At 35.4% G+C, this 18,993-nt stretch overlaps 1 long non-coding RNA gene across 1 annotated transcript; it reads right to left on the reverse strand.

Moving 5' to 3' along the window:
* Positions 1-316: 316 nt before the first annotated feature.
* On the reverse strand, positions 317-929 carry LINC02903 (long intergenic non-protein coding RNA 2903). The gene is made up of 2 exons (NR_171002.1): positions 770-929; positions 317-591 (listed from the first exon to the last, which is right to left on the reverse strand). It is a non-coding gene; the product is annotated as a long intergenic non-protein coding RNA 2903 (long non-coding RNA).
* Between the last annotated feature and the right edge of the window lie 18,064 nt (positions 930-18,993).

An 18,993-nucleotide genomic window follows, 5' to 3' on the forward strand; every position in this document is an offset into this window, starting at 1 on the left:
GCCTCATGAATGAGACATCCTGCCCCACCATTCCCATCCTTGTGTCACCAAAGAAACACCAGGGATACTTAGGTCACAGCTTGAACATCACTAATTTAGTCCAATCCCCTTTCTGTACGGAAGAAAAGAGTGGAACTTGAAGAATGTTTCCCACCTTTTGATAAGTTATGCAAACTCAAAGGAACCTTGTGCCCCTTTCTGAATTTGTTTCTTGTAAGGCTTAGGATCATTTTAAGTATCTTATGACAGGTTACTGTAGTTCAGTTAGCTTTTGCTATTTTTATACTTTTGACACATTCATTTCACTGCCACACAATCATTTTTGTAAAGTTTTATTCACTTTTTTCCTTAATTTCCCATTTCCTTTGGAAAAGATTTTGCATAACTGATTGGTTTCTTGTGGACAATCCGTAGATATGCACCTTTCACTTGAGATATGTATCCCTCATGAATTCTAGTTCTGTATCTCTGATCCATCATGTGACGATATTGAGCTGAGAATTCCTCTGACATCACTGGATGCAATGGGTCCAGGGCATAAAAACACTTGAGAAGGCATGACATTTGTGGTGCAGAAAGAATGAGTACAGCCTATGTGCAATGGAGAAAAAGAAAGAGACTGAATGCTGATCAACGGCAGTTAAGGTGCCACGTCTCACAGTAGGGCACCAGGTTTATGCACAATGAGTCAGGCTCATTCCTCAACATGGAAGATTCTTTATTTCTACCAAAAAAAAAAAAAAAAAGAAAAAAAGAATTCCCACCTTACCTGAAACAGCATTGCAAGGCAACTGAGGCTCCAAAGTCTCTGATGAGTGAGATGAGGTACAGAGAGTTGAGAAAGACCATCACTGGGTGTCATCACAGCCATCATTTTGCAAGGTTTATATGGATGTCATTGCATGTTTGGGATCAACATATGTTTTCTGTAGTGGAGAACAGAATTAATTAGATCTGAAGAAGAAGTTTATAAAGACCTTCAACTTGACATTTTTGCAATCACACACACAGATACTCTGAGAATTTTGAATAACAGGCTTCAAACACAATGATTATTACATATTAGCATGGAGCACACGGAAAACAAAGGGTAAAGAGACAATGAAAAATCAGGATGACCAAGACAGAAATAAATGCAAAAATGAAGAAGGTGGAGATTATTCTATTTATCACAACTAAGGGTTTTATATACATAAAATATATCAATACTTATATATTTATAACTAATATATGTTTCATATATTTATAATTATTGTGAGCATATTTGTAGTTTCTAATACACACACACACACACACTGTAACTCCCATTGTTGGGTTTGAAAGATGGCGTAAGTTTGTCCCAAATATTTCATGGGACATATTTATAAAAAAATTTGTTGTTTATTTGATGTTCAAATTTAACTGGATATTCTGTGATTTCATTTGCTAAATCTGGCAACCTTTTTCTTAAGTTAATTTGTGTTCTATTTTTAATACAGACACCTTTTTTACTTCTCAGTGTCTAAGTACAGTTGGTGTAATGCCCACTGTTTCCACTCTGTGGAAGTCCCAAGAGGTCTTCATATTTCTAAAAAGTTTACAGGGAACTGGTATTCATAGGTTTCTCCAGATCTTTGTGTTTCTACTTCCTGGCATACTATATGTCTCATAACTCCTCCATCTGACATGAAGTTCAGCTCTTTCTTCAGTTTTCATGAAGAAATGTTATCACACATACATGCAAGAATTTGATATTTTTTGTTTGTTTATTTGGTGCATCATCATGAACAACAGTAACATCTAAAACCCGACTTTCCTCCCCTACTGTCATCTGTTGTCCTCAAGTTTCCTCTTCCTGGTAGCCCTTGAACAACTAAATTCTTCACTGAAACTTTGGGGGTCAGCTTTTTTTTTTTTTAGGCCTTGATGGTGGAAATGGGGAAGAGAGAGAATCTCACCTTCAACTCTAAAAAATTAAAACATTTTTCCCAAGACAGACTGATTTTTCCTGTGGAGGAATTCTGCTACCGGCTGTGAAGATAATACATTTTCTCCATCTTATTACGTATTTAATATAAGCATAAAAGCATGTCTACAAAAAAGTTAGTTTCGGTAATATGTTACATTGGAAAAATCAGTATGAATTCATGTCTTTAAAAGATTTATTTTCCAACTCTATCATTATTATAAATGGCCCAGCAGCAGGGACACTACTCTAGTGTATTACCAATCCTCATGTGCACCCCAGCACACACATTTTGATCCCTGGAGGGTAATTGGCTTCAAGTTTGTTGTAAAGACAAAATAAGATGGAGTCAAAGCAACCTGTTGTTAACCAGAAATCAAGGCTGCTACTTGGAATATTAGGGAGTAGTGTTTCAATAACAAAAACATAGCAAATAATAACCAAAGTAATAATGCTAATTGCTAAATTGGAAAAAATTAAGTATCTAAAAAGCCACAATTTCACAGTAACACTCGAAAGAAAACACAAGGTATGCAAAGAGCTACTTGCATTACAACAACAGAAAGATTCTAACAGGCTCTTTCCATCCTTATTGATTTAAAGAAGTAGGAGAGTATTTAAATATGATGTTTTCTTCTTTTTGTTTAGGGTATGTTTCCATATGTTCAGCACATATTCTTGTTTATATCTGTGTAAGAAAGAAGATATGTGAATGAACCAATATGAGATAGGATTTCTACACAATGAGGTAGACCTTTTTCCTACTATAGAAAAGATCACAGAAGGAGGGATATTCTAAATACTAATGAACTCATCAGCATTAATGATCTTATAGAATAATGACTTCCAAGTTTATTATAGTTGATTACAGCTATGGCATACAGGTATACACAATGACTGTGGCAAAACAGAATGTGGTGAAATTATAAGTGGATAAAATGTTCTGAAAAGGAAAAGTAAGCACAGAGATTCAATCCTTCATCTCCTAAGAAATGAAGCATCTACTAATTATAAATAAACCTTTATGAATGTTAATAAAATACTAATGAGAAATACATATATTTTAATAATTAAAACAGACTGGATCAATCTATCATAATTTTAAGGCAATGACATAGATGCTTCTGGCTATAAGAAAACTTAGGAAAGATAATAAGTCCTCAAAAATTAAAATTTATGTCAAAGACAAGGATTTATGGGATTCAGGATGTAACAAGTGAAAGTTTGATATAAGAAGGCACTTGGTATATTGTGGATACTGAAGTTTTCTTCACTTTGGACCATTCTATCAAGTCTCATACTCGAAACATAAATGAACTATCCAACAACCTGGACTCTGATATTCTGAGATGGCATTTTCTTTTCTTTTAGATCTGGAAAAATTTACACAAATTCCCTAGAAAGATTTTAAACATTGGTTGTGGTAAAGCTACAGAAAGTTTACGAAAATATTTTAAACAATTAGAACCCTGGCATGGTGAAAAAATAGGAATTACAGCAAAGTTTCATTCATGATATTAGCACTTTTGCCATTTAGTACTATTATTTATTTATTTTTAATATTTATTTATTATTTAATTTCCATAGGTTTTTGAGGAATAGGTGGTGTTTGGTTACATGAATAATTTCTTTAGTAGTGATTTCTGAGATTTTGGTGCACTCATTACCCGAGCAGGGTACATAATGTATAGTCTTTTATCCCTTACTCCCTTCCCACCTTTTCCCCCAAGTCCCCAAAGTCCATTGTATCATTCTTATGCCTTTGCATCCTCATAGCTTAACTCCCACTTATGTGTGAGAACATATGATGTTTGGTTTTCCACGCCTGAGTTGCTTCACTTAGAATAATGATCTCCAATTCCATCCAGGTTGCTGCAAATGCCTTTATTTTGTTCCTTTTTATGCCATTAGTATTATTTTGTAGTTTTGATTAGTTATGGAATCATTGAACCATCATGTTTATGTATATTTATTTGCTACTGAGAATATTTAAAATATTCAAGGGTCAGCCACACAAATACTAATTACAATTTAAAATTATTAAAAGGAATTTAATCAAATGTATAGTCAATAATGCTCACAAAAGTTGACATTCTTTAGAGAAGAATGGAACAAATTTGAGATCCATACAAAGGATCGATGAAACCAAAAGTTTGTTATTTGAAGGGATAAACAAGATTGAGAGACTGCTACCTAAACTTACAAAGAAAAAAAAGAGAAGATCTAAATAGGCACAATCAGAAATGACAAGGGTGATACTACAATGAATCCAACAGAAATACAAAAGATCCTCAAAGACTATTATGAACAGCCTTGTGCACACATACTTGAAAGTCTAGAAGAAATGGATAAACTCCTGGACACATACAACCTTCCAAAATTGAATCAAGAAGACACTAAAACCCTGAACAGACCAATATTGAGTTCTGGAATTGAATCAGTAACAAAAATCCTACCACCTGAAAAAAGCCCTGGACCAGACTGATTCACTGCCAAATTTTACCAAATGTACAAAGAAGAGTTGGTACCAATTCTACTGAAGCTATTCCAAAAATATTGAGGAGGAGAGACTCCTTTGTAACTCATTCGATGAAACCGTCATCACCTTGATACCAAAATCTGGCAAAAATACAACAAAAAAGAAAACTGCAGACTAATGTCTGTGATGAACATAGATGCAAAAATTCTCAACAAAATAATAGCAAACCAAATCCAGCAGCACGTCAAAAAGGTAATTCACTGTGACCAAGTAGGCTTTATTCCTGGGATGCAAGGTTGGTTCAACATATGCAAATCAATAAGTGTGATTCACCACATAAAGAGAATTAAAAACAAAGACCATGTGATTTATCTCAATTGATGCAGAAAAAAACTTTCAAGAAAATTTGACATCCTTTCATGATAAAGTCTCTCGACTAACTAGGCATCAATGGAACATACCTCAAAGTAGTAAGAGCCATTTATGAAAAGCATTTAGGCAATGTCATTCTGAACAAGCAAAAGCTGGGAACATACCCCTTAAGAACTGAATAAAACAGGGATGCCCACTGAACACCACTCCCATTGAACACAGTGCTGAAAGTTCTAGCCAGATAAATCAGGCAAGAGAAATAAATAAAAAGCATCCCAATAGGAAAAAAAGCCAAGTTATCTTTCTTCACTAATGATATGATTCTATAACATAAAACACTAAAAACTCCACCAAAAGGCTCCTAGCATTTTTTTGTTTGTAGGCCACTTGTATGTTTTCTTTTGAGAAGTGTCTGTTCATGTCCTTTGCCCACTTTTTTATGGGGTTGGATACACTACTTCCATAAAGTTTCAGGATAGAAAAATCAATGTATAAAAATCAGTAGCGTTTCTATTCACCGATAACGCTGAAGCCGAGAGCCAAATCAAGAATATAATCCCATTTACAATAGCCACACATACAAAAATATCTAAGAACACATTTAACTGAGGAGGTGAAAGGTCTCTATGAGGGGAAATACAGAACACTACTAAAAGAAGTAATTGATAACACAAACAAATGGAAATACATCCCATGCTCATGGATTGGAAGAATCAATATTGTTGAAATGGCCATTTTGCCCAAAGCAATCCACTGATTCAATGCTAATACTATCAAACTACAAAAATCATTTTTCATAGAATCAGAAAAATCTATTCTAAAATTCATATGGAATGAAACAGAGCCTAAATAGCTAAAGCAATCCTAAGCAAAAAGAACAAAGCTGGAGGCATCACATTACCTTACTTCATGCTATACCATAAGGCCTCAGTAACCGAAACAGAATGGTGCTGGTACAAAAGCAGACACATAGACCAATGGAAGAGAATACAAAACCCAGAAATAAAACTGCACACCTACAACCATCTGATCTTTGAAAAAGCTGACAAATATAAGCAATGGGGAAATGTCCCCCTATTTAATAAATGCTGCTGGGATAACCGCGTAGTCGTATGCAGAAGAATGAAACTGGACCCCTATCTTTCACTATATACAAAAATTAACTCATGGTGGATGAAAGATTCAAATGTAAGTTTTCAAACTAAAAAATCCCACAAGAAAACCTAGGAAATACCATTCTGGAAATCACCTAGGCAAAGAACTTAACAGCAATTGCAACAAAAACAAAAATTGATAAGTGGGACCTAATTAAACCAAAGAGCTTCTGCACAGCAAAAGAAACTATCAGCAGAGTAAACAGATATTCTACAGAATAGAAGAAATTATTCACAAAATACACATCCAACAAAGGTCTAATATCCAGAACCTATGAGAAACTTAAACAAATCAACAGGCAAAAAACAACCCCATAAAAAAGTGGGCAAAGGACATGAACAGACACTTCTCAAAAGAAAACATACTAGTGGCCTACAAACATTAAAAAAATGCTCGACATCATTAATCATTAGAGAAATGCATATCAAAACCACAATAGGATACCATCTCACACCAGTCAGAATGGCCATTATTAAAAAAGCTTAATAGATTCTGGTGAGGCTGCAGAGAAGAGGAAACACTTATACACTGTTGCTGAGAATGTAAGTTAATTCGGCAGTTTTGAGATTCCTCAGAGAACTTAAAACAGAATTACTATTAGACCCAGCAATCCCATTACTGGGTATATACCCAAGGGAAATAAATCATTCTGCTAAAAACACACATGCACTTACTTGTATATTCATTGCAGCGCTATTCACAATAGCAAAGACACAGAATTAACCTAGCTGTCCATCTTTGGTGGATTGTATAAAGAAAATGTGGTATATATACACCATGAAATACTATGCAGCCATAAAAAAAGAACCAAGTCATGTCCTTTGCGGGAACATGGATGGAGCTGGAGGCCATAATCCTAAGCAATTTAATGCAGAAAAACAGAAAGCTGAATACAGCATGATCTCATTTATGAGTGGGAGCTAAACACTGGGTACATGTGGATAGAAAGAGCAGAATAATAGACATTGGGAACTACTGGAGCAGGGAGGGAGGGGAGCAAGGGCTGAAAAACTACCTATTGGGTCCTATAGTCCTGTACTTGGTACCTGGGTGACGGGAATGAATCATATCCAAACCTCAGCATCATCCAATATACTAATGTAACAAACCTGCACATATACCCCCTGAATCTAAAATAAAAGTTGAAATTTTAAAAATAAAATATAACAAAATGAAAGATTTTTCATTAATAAAAAATGAATGAAAGATTAACTTTGAAAAAATAAAGTCATTGTGTAAAAATTATATTCTAAGTTTTACTTTTTAAATGTGGATTTAATGTATTAAGTATTCAGTAAAAGGAATCATTACATTGAACCAAAATGACTCCTGAGATGTAATTATAAAACAAATTTTTTCTTTCACTATTTCTTTAAATCTGTTTTATAAGGCTAGTTCTTTTCCTGCCCCTGCTGAGAATGAGGGCATGTTCATGGTTCTTCTGAATAGTTGCTTCCAGTTCAGACAAGGTCTCTAGTTAATAATTAAAATATTCAGCCACATGTACTAATCAAAACTCTGTTTTTTTTTTTTTTTTTTTTTTTTTTTTTTTGGAACAGAGTCTTACTCTGTTGCCCGGGCTGGAGTGCAGTGGTGAGATCTCAGCTCACTGCAACCTCCGCCTCCTGGGTTCAAGAGATTCTCCTGCCTCACTCAGCCTCCCAAGTAGCTGGGATTACAAGTGTGACACCACGCCAGGCTAACGCCCAGCTAATTTTTGTAGTTTTGGTAGAGACGGGTGTTTGACCGTGTTGCCCAGGGTGGTCTTGAATGCCTGACCTCAGGTGATTCTCCCACTTTGGCCTCCGAAAGTGCTGGGATTACAGGCATGAGCCACCATGCCCGACCCAAAACTCTAAATTTAAGTCTGAGATTTCTACCCATTCTTACCTTGAGCCTGCTGCATGCAGGAATCCTACAGTTGGGAAAATATGTGGTTGCTCACCTCTCTAGCTCTCCTATTTCCCATCTTCATCCCCTTCTCTTGATCTGGCTTTTGACCACTTTGTAGTTAGAGTGTAGTCAGAGAAAGAAGGATGGAGAGTTTTTAAATGACTGATACTACCATTAGCTGGTACCATGCTGTCTGGGACTGTAAGGAGATTAGATTCCTTCTCTGTTAAGGGTACTTTAGAAGCCCTCCCTTCTCTCAGCTTTGGAGGGCATCTTACCTGAAGTTTTTTTGACCCTAATAAGTGCATCGCTAGTTTGGATAACTTCTCAGTCTTTTCTCGGGCCTTTAACATTTCTTGATACCTTCAAATTCTCCCTGTTACAGTCAACTGCCATGTGGTTCTCTTGGGCAGGACGTCTCTGCGCTAGGTCTTCTGTGTGAGTCTCCCATCTGGTCCATGGAAAGTATTCACGCATTTTCTGCTCCAACTGAGTCTGGATTTGTAAGCCAATCACATTTTTTTTGCTTCATTGTCAATAGCAAGCTACCTTCTCTCTCATCCTTTCGATTTCTTACATGTGAGTCAGACAGTTGTCTACTGCGTCTCTAAACATCAAGGGACACATATTAAGCTCTCCAGGTGGTCTTGTTAACCACTCTTACAAGATTCATGGTGAGAGGAGGTAGCTACTCCCCTAACCTTCCCCTTGGGAGGGTTAGGTAGCACTTGGGCACAGTTCTTCTCAGAGAAATCTTCCACTCCAAAGTCTCTTCAGATGTTGAACTCTTGATCCATTTAAATTCTTCTAATGGGTTTGTGGTTAAAAGACATGTAACCAGTATCCAGAACCTCTGTTTTGAATTCTGTATATAGTCTAGTGACTCCTTTTGAATACAACATCTGTTATATTATTATATATTATATTATGTTATTTTCCTTGGCCAAACTTCCATTTTAATATGTAGTAATACAAAGTACAAGTTTAGTGAGTTCCCTATGCCATACACAAATCTTCTCTTTATCAGAGACTACCACAACATTTGTAAACGTCTGAGTTAAAGGACTTGTTAAACAAAGGACAGATTATAAATATCTGCCAATAGCTACATAAAGTGGGGGGACCGCTCAATGAAAACTACAGTTAACATTTTGGTGCTCAGGAGAACATACAGCAAATTAGCAGCTATACTTAGTGAATAAAGCTTGAATAAGATTTTTTTCCTAATTTTCCATTACCATGGTCTTTTATGTTTCCAATTAAGTTATTAGTGCTGGGAGATCAAGTTAGAGCTACTTAGGAGCTTTTCAGTGGTGGGGAGATCATGGGTCTTTGCTGTTAATTAACAGCACAGGAGTATTCCTGTCTCCTTAGGTCTGTAATGGGAGTTTCTGCGTGAAGCCTTAGCACCTTTACTATTAGAAAGGAACCGTGAGGTACCAGGTGATATTTTTTCAATTTTCAAAGGCATTGATGAGTACCAAGTAGATTTTTTTCCTTGAAATGATTTTAACTTGATGTTTAATACCTTTATTTTGGAATCGCCTTGCTTTTTTAAATTAAACATGAAGAATTCTAGACCACACCCCACATAAATATGATTCAGTAGAACTGTGAGGGGCCCCAATTGTCAATATTTTAAATAAGGACTGCAGATGGTGTAAAGGACACACTTTGACATAGACTTTTTTCTTTCTTTAAAGATATCAAGGCTGGGCACAGTGGCTCACACCTGTAATCCCAGCACTTTGAGAGGCTGAGGTGGGAGGATCACTTGAGGCCAGGAGTTTGAGACCAGTTTGGGGAACAAAATGAGACCCTCATCTCTACAAAAATAAAAAATATTATCACATTCTGTATTTATTTTTTCCATGTAAAGTATAATTTTATTACCTAGAGTTGTCATGTTGTACGTTAGATTCCTGGAACTATACTTTTTCTATTTGGCTTTTTTCACTCAGCAAAATGTCTTCCAGGCTCATCCATGTTGTGTCAAATGGCAAGATCTTATTCATTTTTAGGGCTAAATAATATTCCATTGTATATAGGTACCACAGTTTATTCATTTCCTCTGTCGTCTGACACTTAGGTTGTTTCCATATCTTGGCTATTTGAATAATGCTGCAATGAACATGAGAGTGTAGATTTCTTTCCAAGGTAGTGATTTCATTTCATCTGGATATATATCTGAAAAAGGGATTGTGGGTCATATAGTAGTTCTAATTTTAATTTCTTTAGAAATCTCCATACTGTTTTCCATAATGGCTGTACCAATCTACATTTTTCACCAACAACATACGAGAGTTCCCTTTTTTCTACACCCTTGCCCACATTTGTTATCTCTTGACTTTTTGATAATAGCCATCCTAACGAGTTTGAGATGGTGTGTTATAGTCGTTCTGATTTGCATTTTCCTGATTTTTAATGATGTTAAGCAACTTTTCATTACACCTGAGCATTGGGAAAGAAGTCGAGATACAGCCAGGCAAATACATTCCTTTATCTTTACTTCTTGAATCGACTACTTCCAGGGACAGTTTCTCCTTGCATGGTGTTCGAAGAAGGGCCCCTCCTAAGTAGCCAGGCCTCTTGGACATGCTGCATTCTCTTCACTCTGTGCCTTGCTCTTTGTGATGTTAGATAGTGCACAAAGCCTCCTTCCATTGCATTGATTTATATCTTTTCTTTCTTTCCTTGCTTCCCTTTTTCTCATTCTTGCTGCTCTTGCTTTGCACCTTACAAGTAAAGCGTCATTACTTTAATCTTTGGCTCTGGTTCCATTTTCTGGAGAACTCAAGCTAAAATGTGTGGGAATTATAATGGCTCTGTCTTTACAGTGGATTATAGGCTTTTCATAGCACTTAGGGTGTTTCCTGATTTATAGCCCATATTAAGCAAAGTCAAAACTTTTGAATGTCTATGTTTGCCTTTGAATAGGCAAAAAATTATATAGGGCTAAATGTAATGCATGTATCATGTATAAATGGAATATAAAAAATATATAATTATATAATTTATTTCTAGGTATAAAACACACAGAAATACATAATTTATTGATTGTCATTAGTTGTAATGAGGAAACAGTATTCCCTAAGTGGGAAATATAATCAGGTCCTTTATTTCTGTATCAAGATTTAATTTCCAATGAGTGGTTCTAGTATATTCCTGAGCTGTCCTCCTGCTGCTCCTAGCACTGTAGAAAGAAACAGGTAGTGACAGCAGTTGCTCTTTTTTTTTTTCCTCTTGATTGAAATCTCATGTAAAGTGTTCTCCTTTTGTATTGGAAATAAGGGCAATTGAGCAACCAACAAGTTATAAACCTATTTTTCTCCTTAAATACAACTTTGGTGCTTTCAGAATTGTAACTGATGGACCTAACAGACAATAGCAGCTTTCACAAGAATAACTTATTTTTGTGGGAACTCTGGAGCATAAGAAATCATATGAACTTTTATTTCAAATAAGGTAATTTTTGGGCATAAGGTTAATGGCTGGGAGAGGAGTAATTTTGCGTTGTAGCATTTACATTGAACCTAATATGTGGCTACAAGAACACAGTTCTGAACTATACTGTTTCTTTCTCTTTAACTCTTACAAATATTTGCCATTTTAAAGTGAATTGCACTTTCATCGCCACTGAAAACCAATAAAGACATGGGTATTGATCAACTATAATGGTTGAGCTTGATTGTTGTATTTCATAAGCTTTCCAATAGTAGTGTTTTTAGAGAAAGCAGTTAAGTTAGCTTTCATTTTCTTTCAGCCTTGAAACTAAAACAGGCCAACAAAAAGATAAATGACATTTGGCAATCAGGATTTCCACGTGTCAGATTTCAAACTACCACAAGCAACAAGAGCATGGTCTTATTTGGCCATATATGTACTGATATAGATGCACACATATACACATGTACATTTGTTTGTGTAGAAAACATGACACTTGTCATTTTTATAGATCTCCCAGTAGAGAAAACCAAGTTGGAGGTACTAAACTAATTGGATCCCTAGGGTTTCCCCAAATCCCTTTCCTGGTATATTGATAGCTACATTCTTGTTCACTTTCTGAAAATTGAAAACTTGGGTTAGCTTTTTACCTGCTTAGATTTTAAACCTTTTTATGCTGAACTGAAATGTTGACTTTTATCTTTTAAGAAATAAACTTATTTTGCATGATTATTTTTTCTTAAATTCAGTTACTTGACATGATTTTAACATGACTTTAATTTTTTCCATTAAAAATTTGCCTAAAAGTCTGCCATTTTTTTTCATTTCCAAAATGGCTATGCACCTCATAGGGGATTATTTCTGTTTAAATACACAATTCAAGTAAGTGGAGCACATGGGATAGGAATTGAACTATTAAATTTTTAAAACTTATATGTTTTCCATTTTAGAAAGTAAGTCCCATTTCTAAAATAAAATATTATATTAAGATATTATATTAAAAGTTTGGAAGTCTACTGTGCTGTAAGGACAATATTCTTTAATACAGCCAAAGAATGATGTGAAAAATGTACTACCTAAAGAAAGACACAGTTATACAAGGTAAAGACTATCCCCCTTTCCCCTTTTATTACTGGTTACTGCTAGATAAAACCTTAATAAAGGAAATACTTACCCCTCTGAAAATGAGATGAATCCCTTAACAAAAAAAAAAGAAAGAGAAAGAAAGAAAAAGAAGGAAGGAAGAAGGAAGGAAGGAAGAAAGGAAGGAAGAGAAAGAAAGGGACAGAGAAAGGAAGGAAGAGAAAAGGAAGCTATGCATTATATTTTCCTCCTAGGGCAGAATATCTTGTCCTTTGGTTGTTTTTAGGTAAGGAGCTTTGAAATCTTGGGTGATGGAGCACTCTGTCCATAAATGATTCTCCTGGCTGTCTTACTCTAGTAAGCCCTTTGGAAAATACTTGAACAAATCATCTTGAGGTTCACTACCTCCCATGTCACTAAGATAAAAAAAGAAATTAAATATATTTTGATACACAAATACATATCTTAATGTATATCTCATTAGTTACTTAGAAAGTCTAATATATCTAAAATAGAAGTTACCTATTTAGCAACAATAATTGAGATGAAAAATGTTCTAAGGTGATGTTGGAGCTTCATAATTAGTTCATTTGTTTGTTATCCAAATATTTGCATGATATTACAGTGCAGAACTAGCAAATTCAGTGATGTCTTTAAGAGGCTGAAGCATAATAGGGTACCATTTTGGATGTCCAAAGTATGGCATTTATTAATTGCTTACAATTACTGAAATTATCATCAAATTGAGTAATTGAATGTACTTAATTGAAGCTACATCTTGGCAAGCATCTCTTACGTGTAGTATCGTTTTTACCAGTTAAATGGAACCTTCCATGACTGCTTTGCAAATCAATTTTATTAGAAATGATCAAGTAACTTTGATTGTTTTGGCTTGTTGCTAATGTATTAATAGACTCTGAATCCAAATAATTAATGGAGTTGATTTGGTATGCTTGAAAAAGATCTCTGATAGTAAACAGCTAGTGACTGAAATATTTACTTACATTTTAATGGTGGCATCCTTTTTCTACTTATTTTTGCTTTATCAGCTGCTTAAATAATGAAAATATTGGGTAGGATGAGCAAAATTTAATTAAAAATTTATATTCTAATGTTTTTAGTATATCTATCAGTTCAGTTATTTCCACTTCTACCATGTTGTATGTGTATCAGCTGCTATAACTGCAAAGAATATGAAAGCACAATTTAATTGACATAATTCAGACTTCTATGCTACTTGCCTTTGAAACATCCAAGTAGCTAAAGGAAACAGATGTTTTATTATTTGCATTTTTTTGGTATCTGCCTTGTTTGCTCACTCTCACAGATATTTGGGCAGTAATGAGCTGATGCAAATGGAAAGTGAGTATTACAATTGTACAAAACATTTTTTTTACTCTTACTTGCAAGCTAATATATAACACGTTAAATTAAAAGTCTAACATCAAAATACATGTTACCATTTGAACCATCAGATGTGAATATGTATTATTAAGTTATAATGGTTGAAGTAATGATGTAACACAGTACAAGAATAGAAAGTTAAATCAGTGACAATGAATTAAAGGTCTGCGGGAAAAGGCATATATAATAAAAGTGAGACTATTCAGGAATGATACTCTAATCATTGAGTAATAACTTGATTGAATTTCTACCTTACATGGTAGGCCAAAATAAATTAAATATTTAAATGCAAAATTGAAATCAAAGAACTAGAAGAAAATGTAGTTCTATATTATCTGAATTCATATATGAGAAGGGTATGGCACTAAAAAAAGGCATTATAAAGGTAAATTGGCAGATTTGACAAGTAAAAATGAAAAACTTTTCTAAAAACATTGTAAATGAAATTAAAAATATAAAACAAGGAAAAATTACCAAAGTAGATAAAAGATAAAGATTAAAATGTAATGGACTCATAAACAGCTCCTATATGTCATTAAGAAAGCCACACTAGAAAGAAAGGCAAAAGATATGAGTATTTGAAAAAAAGAAAAAATATAAAAGATCAATGAGCTTAGGTTAAAAAGTCCAGTTTTACCAGTGATCAAAGAAATGCAAATTAACATAATGAAATGACATTGTAGCTTATCCAATTTACAGGTTTTTTGTGTGTTTTTAAAAATAAATACAAGAATATTTTTCTGGTGGAAATTAAAGTTGGTATAACTTTCCTGGTGGGCAATTAACTTTGCCTTTTAAAAAAACAGGAAATTTACAGTGTTATAAATAGCTCTGGGATCAAAATGCCCAAATTATAGATAGATAAATATTCTTTCCGATATTATTTTAAATTGTTTCTCTAGATCCTGATACACAGACACATTGAAAGGTAAAACAAATATTCTTGATGAAAACATGATAAAAACAAATAAATTGAAAGGTAAAACAAGTATTCTTGATAAATATTCTTCATAAAACCATTTTTGGAACTATTTGCCTAATGTTGATATATTCAGGCAGACATGAAAATGTGTCTTACAGGGACTTGGGGAGACATAAACAAAAAAGTCTCACTTAATAAACTTTACAAACTAATATATTATGTGTCTCAGTTGTTCAAGTTAGGTAAACATTTTCTAAATAATTTTTTATTTTCCTTATCCTCGGGCTGTTGTTCTTCCTGATTCTGTCTGGATTGTTCTTATGTGTCTTATCCTTGGTAAACATCTTTTCATCATTTAATGTCCAGCGGGTGCATCCTCTTATCTAGGACACATCTTCCCACCCAGGTTGAATTGGCTACCCCCTCTCCTTATACTTTTCAGTTCACCTGTGAGTCTCCTGCTAAATGATAAGCTTATAGAAGGCTGGGAGTATGTCAAATTCATCACCCCTGCTCTAGCAACTGAAGATAGCACCTGGCCAAATACATAGTGCTTCAATGAGTTAATAAAATAATAATCATATGTCAAGTTCATATCTAGGGATTTTGAAGGCTGTTGGCTGGCTCAGTAGAGTATAAGAAATAATTAGAAGGCAGTTACAAATTATCAGTGTTTTCATTTGGTAATTTAACCTAGAATATTGGAAACATCATCAGTCATAAGTTCAGGAGTTTGAATTCATAGTAAAAATTTAAGAAGAGAGGCTGAATACATGGAAGCACATGATAATGGAGCATATTATGTGGCAGCATAAATGAAGCATGCCAAGACTTAAAGCCAAGAACTGAAGCAAGGGTGGATTTAAAAGCTGCATTCCAGGAGATCAAAAGTATCTCCAAACAATTGCTTCCTTTAGAGTTCTTTTTTATAAACGAGAGAGTATATTTTTTGTTGTTGTTCTGGTAGTCATAGGTCTTATTACATTTCTCTAATTACTGAGCTTAATCATGACTTTCTGAGCCTTTTGATTTATACTCCTGTGTTTTTACTAATCACATCTCCAGATTTGCCACATTTAATTTGCAGTATTAAATTACAGAAAACTAGCACCATTTCTTAATTAATTCGTTGCTATAAACTATACTAATGGAATCACCTGAATTACATCAATGTACCAGATGGATGCCAAATTTGCCAGCCTAATTATGATGTTTTAATTACACTTCACTAGAATTGTCTTAAGATGGGTTCCTAATAATGGGAGGCAATATTCATTTATTCATTCACACCTGCTGTATGAGTCTTCTTGGGTTGCCATAAGAAAATATCACAGCCTGGGTTACTTAAACAACAGAAACGTGTTTTTCTCACATTTCTGGAGGTTAGAAGTCCAAGGTCAAGGTGCTAGCAGGATCGGTGTCTGGTGAGTCCTTCGTTCCTGGCTTGTGGATACTGCTTTCTCATTGCGTGTTGACATGACCTTGACCTTATCTTTATGCTTGCAGAGAGAGTGAGCTCTGATATCCATCTCTTCCTTTTGTAGGGACACCAATCCTATTGGATTAGAGTTCCACTCTTTTTTTCTGAGACAGAGTCTCGCTTTGTCGCCCAGGCTGGAGTGCAGTAGCCCAATCTCGGCTAACTGCAAGCTCTGCCTCCCGGGTTCACGCCATTCTCCTGCTTCAGCCTCCCGAGTAGCTGGTACTACAGGCACCCGCCACCACGCACGGCTAATTTTTTGTATTTTTATTAGACACGGGGTTTCACCGTGTTAGCCAGGATGGTCTTGATCTCCTGACCTCGTGATCCGCCTGCCTCGGCCTCCCAAAGTGCTGGGATTACAGGCGTGAGCCACCGCGCCCGGCGGAGTTCCACTCTTATGACCTCATTTAACCTTAAATACTTCCTTAAAGGCTCCATCTCCAAATAGTCTCACTGGGGGTTAGGGCTTCAACATATGAACTTGGCGGTGTCGTTGTGGCGAAACACACAATTCAGTCCATAACACCAGCTGACCAACGCAGCCTAAATGTCCCTTCAGCCGAGTAAACTTTAGATAGGCTTCTTTCTGACTGCAGGCCCTGACTGCCCTTTTCTTAGAGCGTGTACTTTTAACTTGCACTTTTGCAAATCCTTTCTCTACCCCTTTGAATTGTAAAATTTTTAAGTCTCTTACCAGTGTTAAGACCATAGAATATTTTTCCCAAGGTCTATGGGCCCTTTGAAAGGTGATCAAGGAAGGTCACACCACTGTCTCCCAGTCGTTGTGAGAGGGAAGGAGCCCAACTTCAGTGAGCACCTTGCTCCAAATTGTAAAGCTACCTCTTGTTACAAAGATACGAAAAAGTCTACTTTTCCACTGGGTAAAGCCAATTAGCAAATGCAGATGACCTATTGTCTCCCCTTCATCCCTCCCCTCTCATTCTCCCACATCAGCGACTCAGCAATTAAAGATCTGGAGGGTTTTTTTTTTTTTTTTTTTTTTAAAGGAGTCTTGCTCTGTTGCCCAGGATGGAGTGTAATGGCGCGATTTTGGCTCACTGCAATCTCTGCCTCACGGGCTCAAGCGATCCAAAAACCTGGAGCGTTTTTTATGAAAGCCTGCAGTGTTTTTAGTTTCATGCAATAGCCTTGAATGAAGTTTTCTTTACCTGTTTAATTTTTTTTGCATTGACATTGCATTAAAATGGTGCAATTTCTGCTTTGACATTGCAGAAATCCATAAATGTTAATTCTACTAATACTAACTGTGTTAGTGGTAATAACACTTATTTTACACTTTCGTCTCTTAAGGTGCTCTACTATGCAGCTACTTTAAATTGCCTAGGCTTCAGGGGTACTGAGACTTTGCTTTAGGACTGCCAGACACATTTTTAAATGGTTGAGAAGCACCCCTCAGTCAATTCTTGCTTAATATTTATCTACGTAGTTATCATTTTTTAACTCATCTTTTGTTTCTCTTTCATCTTTCACCTTTAGCATGTTCCTTCCATCTAAAGGACAAGAGGGTTTGTTGGTAGTGTGCAGATTCAGTTTCTTTCTTTTTGTCTGAAAATGGCTTTATTTCACCCTCATTCTGAAAAGATTATTCTGCTGTGTATACAGAATTTTATGCCAGTAGTTATTTTTCTCTTGGCCTATTGTGATGTTGTTGCACTGTCTTTAGTTTCCACTATTCCTATTGATCAGTCTGTTATCATGCTAATTGCAGCTCATTTACAGGGGTATTGTATTTTCTCTCTGATTGCTTTTAAAATTGTTTTGTGATTTTCAGCTTCCCTAGGATGTGCCTAGGTGTGGATTTTTAGAAATTGTTATTTATTCTGCTTGGGATTCATTGGACTTCCTGAGTTTGAGAATTGATAGAATTCAGTAATTCTGAAAAATGCTGAACCATTTTCTCTTTATATACTGTATTGTCATCATCTAGTCTATTATATGCTTCTAGAAAGTTGATTAAATATGTTAGAGATTTTCACTTTATCTTCATTATTATCAATTCCTCTTTTATGGTTTGCTCTCTTTTATGTCTTTGGTATAGGCTATAGATTGCTTTCCTTGGGACTGTATTAGTCAGGGTCCAGTCAAGAAAACAAAACCCCCATTGGGTGATTCTACTGATGGAATTAGTTGAAAAGGTATTAGAAGAGCTAAAAGATAACCTAGGAAAAGTAAGGCAAATAATTCAGGCAATAAAAAATTCACACTATCAAATTGTGTGAGGTTGACTTGTAGTTACAAATACTCAGGGGAAATTAATTTTTCTCTCCATCCAGTTTAAGATTTGAGGCTGATAATTTTCTTTATAGTCCCCTTCTCAGTGGAGAGTTTTTCATTCCCCCTACACAGAGTATGTAGCCCATAGGATGGATATCAATCAATTATTAACACAATAATGCAATAATACATAAGAAGTCACCCAAAACTCAGTGGCTAGGAATGACAATTATTTTCTCTTCTCCATCTGTAGATGTGAATTGGGTAATCAAGGCTGTATATGGCTGGGTTGGCTCCCAGCTGCAAGTCTCTTATCCCGTGCTACCAGCAAGGCCCGAAACTTACTCTTCTCATGGCAGTGGTAGAAGTAAAGGAGAGCTTGTCACACTGTGCAAGAAGCAGTCAAACCTTTGCTTTCTTCTTATCCTCTAACATCCTGTTGGCTGAAGTGAGTCACTTGGCCAAGCCTGATGTCAATGGGGTCGTGACTATTTGTTAAAGAATAGCCCTAACTATCACCAAGGATTCAGCTTATCCAAGAGATGTCTATTACATTTTCTAACTTGGGTAAATTTTAT

The sequence above is a fragment of the Homo sapiens genome, chromosome 7 (genome assembly GCF_000001405.40).
Source record: "Homo sapiens chromosome 7, GRCh38.p14 Primary Assembly".
Classification (NCBI taxonomy): domain Eukaryota; kingdom Metazoa; phylum Chordata; class Mammalia; order Primates; family Hominidae; genus Homo; species Homo sapiens.